General features: G+C 35.0%; 1 pseudogene; it reads left to right on the plus strand.

The window, feature by feature from the left end:
- Nucleotides 6,416-7,261, plus strand: RPL7AP56 (ribosomal protein L7a pseudogene 56; annotated as a pseudogene).

Consider the following 9,638-nt stretch of genomic DNA (forward strand, 5'->3'; position numbering starts at 1 on the left):
GCATTAAGCAAACACTAAAAAAATAAATAACATGTAGACTTTAATTCATAATCATTTAAAAATATTGTTTTATTAATAATGACTATGCTACTACATTTGTGTGAGATGTTTGTTAAAGAAAATCCAGATGTGGGGTGAAAGGAAACTCTTTGTATAATCTTCACTTTTTCCGTAATTCTACTACTATTCTAAAACTAAAATTTTACAAAACAGTGCCAAAAAATGTGCTGACAGTGTTTCACCCAGATTAATTTAGTTAATTTTATAGATCCATTTGTTGAATAAACCAAACCATCTTTAGACTTTACATACACACACACACACACACACACACAGAATGAGAGAGGAGGAGAGAGACAGAGAGGGAGACAGAGAGATAAATATTTACGTAAAATTTGTTTGGGTACAACCTTTATTTTTATTATAATATCTATGCACTGATATGGCATTTTTATTTTTGTAAGTTTACTATACATTTTACCATCTGATTTATACCTCAGTTTTCTTATTTGTAAAATCAGGATATTATAGACTCACTGGATTGCAGTGAGATATAATCAAATTATATTTATAAGGCATTAGCTGACATTTCTGGCCACAAAATAAATTGGAAATGAATATCTAAATTTAACTTTCCTGCAGTGGACTACATATCATGATTGCAATGCATATTCTCTAGAAAAACTGGTATTAAATTAATAATATACCTAAAGTATCTGAAAATCAAGGAAATCAATCCAGATGGATTGTTTGTATCATTTTTAATTTGGTTTCACATTGGGTAAATAAATATTTCGTATCTGTAGCAGATTGTATTTTGTAAAGATAGTCAACAATATCTCCCATTCCACTTGATCTTCTGCAGTGTGACCTTGCCATTTTCCCTTCAAGAGACAATGTCTCATTCCTCTCTTCTTGAGTCTAGGCTGGAGAGAGTGCCTTTTCTGTAACAGATAGAATGTGCCAGATGTGATCCTGTGTGACTTTTAGGTTGACTCAGAGAAGACCATGCAGCTTCCACCTTGCTCTTGGCTACAGCCTTTCCTTGGGGGATGTTTTCTCTTAGGATCCAGACACAGGGAAATACAAGTCACACACAAAAAAGCCATGTGTAGGTGCTTTGGTTGACAATACTAAACGTTGGCAACCTAAACGTCGCGTTCTTCCATCCCAGTTACCAGACATATGACAGACATATGAATGAATACACCTTTAGATAATTTCAGCCCACACCTGCTTGAGTCAACACAACATTCTGAGTTTTTCTAACTGAAGCTCCAGATATAGTGGAGAGGAGAGACTAGTCATCCCTGTTGTACCATCTAAAATCCTCACCACAGAATCTGTGGTTATTGTTAAGCCACTTAATTTAAGATGGTTTATTATGCAGCAATTAATACCCATATCACTCTTCTGATATTTTTTCAGGTCATAAATGTCTCCCAGTAAAGTTTGGTAGATTTTGTTTGTATTTGTTTTGTTTTGTTTTGTTTCATTTTATTTTATTCACTTTATATTTCTCATTGGGAAAACCCAAGCGTATTTTGTTAGGCATTAGAATATTTTCTTCTGTTATGTATGTGAAATATTTGTTTCCATTTTGTCTTCTGATTGGGCTATTCATTCTTTATTTGATTTTTATATATGTTACTAATATCTGTCTCATATTTTAAAAATTTTTTATATAAATTTTAAGTTGATTATCTGAGTTTTCTAATTATATAATTATATCATCTACAAATAATAATGGTATGCTTTTATCACAAAAATTATCCTTCTTTTTTATATCAAGTGATCTTAATGGATCCACATTTCTAGAATAATATTTAACAATATTGTTGACAATTTGTATTTTTGCTTTATTTGGAATTTTAACTAGAATGGACACAAAATTTGCACATAAATACACATGAATTATATGCCAATTCTTGTCTGCCAACAGTAGAAATTAACTCTGGATAAATAAAACAGGAAAATATTGTATTGGAAATATTTTGATTAGTTTACATAATCGACATAAAGGTTGAAACTATGATAAAATTTATATTAAGAGCAGGCCGTAGTCAGCAAGGTTGCTAGCTGCACCACATTTATTGCCTCTGAAGGCCAGAGAACAGCACACTCTCAACATCTTATATAAATGCTGCACTTCAGTCACTTGATCATAGGAGCTGTCCTTTTAGTATCTATGTATCACTCTCAAATTAAATGATCATGCCCAGGGTGTTATAGAAGGGTAGATTATATTACCCAGAGCCCAAACCAGTAGCCTAGGAATTTGTGCTGAATTTCTAGTAAACACTGAGTTTAAACGTTGTAATATAGACAAGAAAAAATGCATTCAGGCCCTACAATTCTCTTGAATGAAACACAACTATTATACATTTTCTCCGTAAGTTCTCAAACACAATGGGATACAATTTTATCTTCTGGATCTCTACTATGAATCATCATGAGCTCAGAATGATCCTAGGCAGAATTTTTCATATCTCTTTACTATTAGCATGAGCATGGAGTCATTTATTTTTCTGATTTTGATATCTGGCTGCTTGTATTGCTGATCTTTCCTTCTGGTTCAGGCAAGATAAAAGCACACAACCAATTTCTCATTATTGGTCTGAGAAGGTAGCCCAACTGACCACACTGAGTAACTAAATAATTTCCCTCACCTACTTTATTATTTATTCCAATCTCATTTTCCTTTTTCAACTTTAGTATGCTGGCTTTTTGGTAGTCCTCAATATTTAAAAATGACTCACTGAATTTCAGGTAGCCTTGATTGTCTCTAAGTAAAAATATCTGGAGAGTGGGTGAGACAAGGAGAGGAAAAAGAAATCCAAGAATTGATATTTCTCATAATTTTATTATGCTCAGATGTTTGTCCCTTGGAACCAAAAGAAAACCATAACAGATCTTTATAATTCTCCCATCTCCTACAACAGGCACCCTAGAAATTATTATAACAATTTGGAATATTGGTATTTGGCAAAGCATTCCTAGATATTACAGCTGAAATAAAAGAATGGGGAGATAGCGCCACCATCAACAAATGCCAAAAAGTGAATAAGTTTATTTAGGGGAAAGGGGTGAGACCAAACCTGGGGAAATTTTGCAGGTATGCACCTATTGATTGAAATATTCTTAAAGGCGAACTATCAAAAAGAGTTCTAGTTTCTTCCTTCGCTCTCTCATTATTGCCTCTCTCTGTTTTCTAGGTAATGATTCACAATGTGTCTGTCTTCCTTTTTAATGTCATTCATTAATATAGTATAGTTTTCTTCATATAATCAATGTGTGTGTGTGTGTGTGTGTGAGTGTGTGTGTGTGTGTGTGTGTGTGTGTGTGTGTAGCTTTCTTCCTAGAAATTTTATTATTTCATTGCTCCTAAAATGCTGTTTTTATTTGATGATATACTATATGGTATGGCACAGAAACACTATAGCTATTTATTTTTATTTTATTTTATATTTATTTTGTTACTACTCATATTGCTAAATACATTTACTGGAGATTTAAAACTGTTTCAAAACATATTCATTAGACTTTCAATTTGATAATAAGTATTCTATAAATAATAGTTACTTAAATCTTAGAAATACTTTTCTTATCTTATTTAATTGTCAAGGAATACTCCCAGATTTGTTAAATAGTGATATTATGAATGCCTTATTTTCCCTCATATTGATAAAAATTCATCTAGTTTATTTCACTATTAAATACAATATTGTTATTTGTCCAAAATACCAGTTATCTTAGCTTGCAATATGTTTGCATTCTAACAGCACTCTTAAAGATCCCTTTCATTATCCCTTTCATTACCCTCCTTCCATTATTCCAACTACTCATAATTGTATCACCAACTTGGCATATTGCTATGCTTGTTAACTGACTGAATTAATAAAGAAAAAGAAGAGATAAAATCTAATCAATGACTATGAGTTGTTCTTGGAAAGGACTGACCTTAACAGGGTTTGTAGCTTAAGTATATTAATTAGGGTAAAACATCCTAGACATTGGAAATTCTCTTACAGATAGTCTTAGTTTTCACAAGTTTTATGGTTAATACTCTGCAGTGTTTTCTTAAGTATTTCAAAAGAAAGTCCAGTGAGGACAACTAGCTATTTGCCATCACAAATTAAATGAAAACTTTTGCCCATAGGAAAGGAAAACATAAAAGGAAGCAAAAACCTTACATAGTATTTCTTTTTAATTCTCCTAATGATTTATCTTGCCAAATATAAATTCATACAATCCACTCTACACTACACTTAAAATCACTGATTTTTCTGTTTAATATACTCTCTGCTGACCAACAATTATGTGTCTGTGACAAGGTTAGGAGCCAAGCATGCAAGGATATATATGAGTGAATCTTTGCCCAAATTTAAAGATACTGTACTTTAGACGTAAGATACTTATGAGAAGAGTCTTTAGGTAATAGAGAACTAGTTATCCTTGTTTATATGCATATGACATAACTTGCATATGCAGGCCATTCTGTTCTTCAAAATATTGGGACTCAGATTCCACAAAGTCTTTTTTCTGTCTCTCCCTCTCTCTCTCTCTATCTCTCTTTTTTTTTCCAATTTGAGGATCTTCGTTCAATGAAATTTAAAATTGACTTAGAACATATTGCTCATTGATCCTAAAACTTTGTATCTCGTTGAGAGTGTAATACAGCTCAGATATAAATTAAATTGTAGTGTTTTAATTGTTACTGAAAGTGACATGCCCTACATCTTTCTTCTTGACCTTTGTGCAATAATAAAATATCCTATCTCTCTGGCACTTTTGTTTTCATAGTTTTCTCTTCCTTTAGCTCCTTAGGGCACTTTTCCAGACCACCTCAAGATTCCAAATAGAATTGTGTGATTTAGGAATAATAGCACCCGACAGCAGTAGAGAAAAGATCTTTCTTAAAGAATTTATGGATTTTTCAGAATGCTATCTGGGATGCCACCTCTGCCCACATCACTGATTCATGAGTTCATCTTTGGCAAGACAGCAACAGAATTACTTTTCTAGGGAGAACAGATAACTTATTGGAGGAGAAGAGGGTCAGCCTGTCACTGGGTGAATATCATACAACATAAAGCCCAAATGCTATAGCACCATAAAAAGTCATCAAGTATTTTACAAAATGAAGTTCTTGCTGCTGGGATCCCATCAGGCAGCAATTTTTGCTCTGATTACCTAAAGTCCCTTCATCTGTCTCTCAGCATTCCACTGCCTGTAGCTTATCAGTTTTCCTCTAAAGGGGATTTAATGTTCTGTCAATTTCCATATTGTTTCTGGCACTGTTGTGTGCGGATAGGATCTTAAAATAAACAAAAAATCTGAACAACTAAAGCAACGTCAATCCGTCTTTGCCTCTGCCAAATTTCCTAAGGTTTGTAAACCCTTCCAGCAATTGATAACATTAGAACATATTCAGATCTCTGTTTCTGTCTCATACTTATCGAAATCTTATTTACACTTTTAAAAACATAGTTTTTTTTTTTTTGTTTAGCAGTTGGGTCACATGTAGCAAAAATTTTTCCTGACATTTGTATTTTTACTCCATGATTGAGTCTTGACACATCAGCTCATTTGTGAGATCTGAGATCTAAAGTACTCCAAATCAACTCAAAATGGGTTAAAGACCTAAGAGTATGACCTGAAACCATAAAACTTCTTGAAGAAAACACACAGGAAAAGCTCCTTGACGTTGGCTCCTTGACAGACAATGGTGTTTTGGATATCACACCAAAAGCTCAGGCGACAACAGAAAAAAAGAAAATCAAAACAAGCGGTTTTACATCAAACTGAAAATCTTCTGCACAGCAAAGGAAGCAATCATAAAATGAAAAGGCAACCAACTTATGGACGGAAGGAAATATTTGCAAACCAGATATCTGATAAAGGGTTAATATCCAAACTATATAAGAAGCACAGTTCAATAGCAAAAAAATACATAAATTAAAAATGAGCAAAAGACCTAAATAGACATATTTACAAAGAAGACATAAAACATGGCCAAGAGGTATATGAAAGGATATTAAATATCTCTAATCATCAGGTACATGTAAATCAAAACCTCAAGGAAATATCATCCCATACCTGTTATGATGACTATCATCAAAAAGATAAGAGATAATTATTGGTGAAAGTGGAGAAAAGACAATCCTTGTACATCACTGGCAAAATGTAAATTCATACAGCCCTTATTAAAAATAGTATGAAGTTTCCTTAAAAAAATTAAAAACAGAACTACCAGCAATCTCCCTTCTGAATATACACCCAAGGAAATGAAATCAGTACTTCAAAGAGGTATCTGCATTCCTATGATCATTGCAATATTATTCACCATAGCTGAGGTATAGAGACAACCTAAGTGCCCATCAACAGATAAAGGGACAAAGAATATATGGTATAGTCTCTCCTTCAGTCGCTCAAGATGCCAATAGGAAAGAAGGGCAAGGAAAAGAAGGGGATTCCAGCTCCTGCTGTTGTGAAGAAGCAGCAGACCAAGAAGGTGGTAAATCTCCTCTTAGAGAAAAGACCTAAGAATTTTGGCCTTGGACGGGACAACCTGCCCAAAAGGGACCTTACCCACCTTGTCATATGGCACTGCTATGTCCAGTTGCCCTGGAAAAGGGCTACTTTCTAAATGAGGTTGAAAGTGGCTCTTGCAATTAACCAGTTCACCCAGGCCTTGAGCTGCTAAACAAGGGCTCAACTGCTTAAGCTGGCCCACAAGTACAGACCAGACACAAAGCATGAGAACAAGCAGAGGTTGTTAGTTCAGGCTGAAAAGAAAGCTGCTGGTAAACAGGATGTCCCACTAAGAGACCTCCTATTCTTGAAGCAGAGATTGGCACTGACACCACTTTGGTGGAGAACAAGAAGGCTCAGCTGGTGGTGACTGCATATGACACAGATCCCACAGAGCTGGATGTATCTGCCCTGTGTCAGAAGATGGGTGGTTCCATTGCATTAACTATGGGAAGGCCAGACTGGACTCTAGTACACAGAAAGACCTGCACTACCATTGCCTTCACACACAGGTTACCTCGAAAGAAAAAGGAGCTCTGGCTAAACTGGTGGAAGCTATCATGACCGATGACAAGGACAGATATGATGAAGTATCATCCTCTCTGGGAAGGAAATATCCTGGGTACAAAATCTGTGGCTTGCATTGCCAACCTGGAAATGGCAAAGGCTAAAGAACTTGCCACCGAACTGGGTGAAATGTATGCTATTGAGTTTTATGCTCATAAAACAAGAAAAATTCTTTTCTTAAAATGTGATATGCATACACACATAAATGTGAATACTATTTAGCCTTTAAAAAGAAGAAAATCCTGCCATTTGCAACAACATGGATGAACAAGGGGGACATTATGCTAAGTGAAATAATCCAGAAACAGAAAGAAATATACTGCATGAAGAACCTTAAAAAGTCAAATTCATAGAGCTAGAGAGTAGCATAGTGGTTGCCAGGACTAGAGAGGTGGGGGAAATTGGAAAATGTTGGTTAAAAAGGTACAAAGTTTCAATCATGTAGGATGAATAATTCTAAACATCTGAAGTACAGCATGCTGACTATGGTTAATTAAACTATTTTACACTAGAAATTTGCTAGAAGAGTAGATTACAAGTGCTCTCATTACACACACACACACACACACACACACACCAGGAGATATACACACACACATATGTATATATAATTTTGTTCACTGTAGTAATCATTTCACTGTGTATACATATATCAAAACATCATGTGCATCTTAAATACATACATTTTAAAATAAAATAATAAAGTAACAAAAAAGGAAAAGAAAATACACTTCTAAGAGTAATGGATTACTAATATAAAAATGAAAGAGTTTGTTATTTTTTATAAAGTATAGAGGAGGGAAATCTTTTCCTCTATCTTCTGAGGATTTGATAACTGACCCCATCAGATAAACTGAGAGTAGGCAGATTAACAGGCAAAAATGTATACAAATATGTGCACAGGGACATCACAGAAAAGAAAAGTGAACATTCAAAAACCCAGTGAGATCTGGAAGCTTAAACACCCTCTTTATAGGGGAGAGGGGAGGAGAAATATCAGTAATTTAAGGGAGAGTGAACGATCTCAGAGAAAGATAAATGAGCCCCCAGAAAAAAATAGATGATAGCCTGTGAGAAATTCTGTCTGGGGATGGTGCTGACCTCCAGTCTTCCCTCTTATGGTCTGAATTAATCTTTGCTGGTTGATGCGATTCCTGAGCAGGAGATTGATAATAACTTACTTCTCTTTAGAGGACACATCATTAGGCAAATAAAGGAAGTTCAGAGAAAGGCCCTCTCTGTGTTGGCTGTTTTCCAGGCACGCTCAGTTTAAGTAATCAGTGTACCACAGCAGCATATCTTGGGGTGGCATTTCCAGAACCCCTTTCAATAAAATGAGAACATATTGGCAATCAAAGAAAACAATTATTATTAAGGTAGAATAGATATTACTTAATGAGAAACTTCTAGGACTTTGCAACCAAAAGAGCAGTCAAAGGACCATGAAGGAACTTCTTAGAAATGCAGACTCTTGGGCCCCACTTTGCACATACTGAATCAAAAATCAACATTTTGCCAAAATTCCCTGGTGGTTTGAATGCATAAAGAAGTTTAAGAAATACTCTTCTACAAACCATACTAGACTGTAGCTATTTTGTTTTATACAATCATCAAAGCAGTACTTCTATGTAAACAAATTATTATTATTATTATTATTATTATTATTATTAGACTTTAAGTTCTGGGATGCATGTGCAGAACGTGCAGTTTTGTTACATAGTTATACAGGTGCCAGGGTCGTTTGTTGCACCCATCAACCTGTCATCTACATTAGATATTTCTCCTAATGCCATCCCTCTCCTAGCCCCTCACCTCGTGACAGGCCCTGGTGTGTGATGTTCCCCTTCCTGTGTCCATGTGTTCTCATTGTTCAGCTCCCACTTATAAGTGAGAACATGTGGTGTTTGGTTTTCTGTTCCTGTGTTAGTTTGCTGAGAATGATGGTTTCCAGCTTCATTCATGTCCCTGCAAAGCACATGATCTCATTCTTTTTATGGCTGCATAGTATTCCTTGTTGTATATGTGCCACATTTTCTTTACTCAGTCTATCATTGATGGGCATTTGGGTTGGTTCCAAGTCTTTGCTATTGTTAACAGTGTTGCAATAAACATATGTGTCTTTATTGTAGAATGATTTATAATCATTTTGGTATATACCCAGTAATGGGAATCCTGGGTCAAATGGTATTCCTAGTTCTAGATCCTTGAGGAATCGCCACACTGTCTTCCACAGTGGTTGAACTAATGTACACTCCCACCAACCATGTAAAAGTGTTCTTATTTCTTCACATCATCTCATACCATTGTGAAGATAAGAAATGTGGTTCCCAGAAAATTTAAGTACCTTTCTCAAGGTCATGCAGTGAGTAAATTAAAAGGAAATGTGAAAGAGGGATTGTCAGAATTGTGAACCCAAGTATATCTGATTCAAAAGCCTGTGCAAAGAACCTGTTCTTCATTTTTAAAAAATACAGTAACCCCTTTTAAATCTGACCTAAGTTCTCTCAGCATTTTTGGATGTCTTTGAAATACTAATC

Source organism: Homo sapiens, chromosome 11, assembly GCF_000001405.40.
Source record: "Homo sapiens chromosome 11, GRCh38.p14 Primary Assembly".
Classification (NCBI taxonomy): Eukaryota; Metazoa; Chordata; class Mammalia; order Primates; family Hominidae; genus Homo; species Homo sapiens.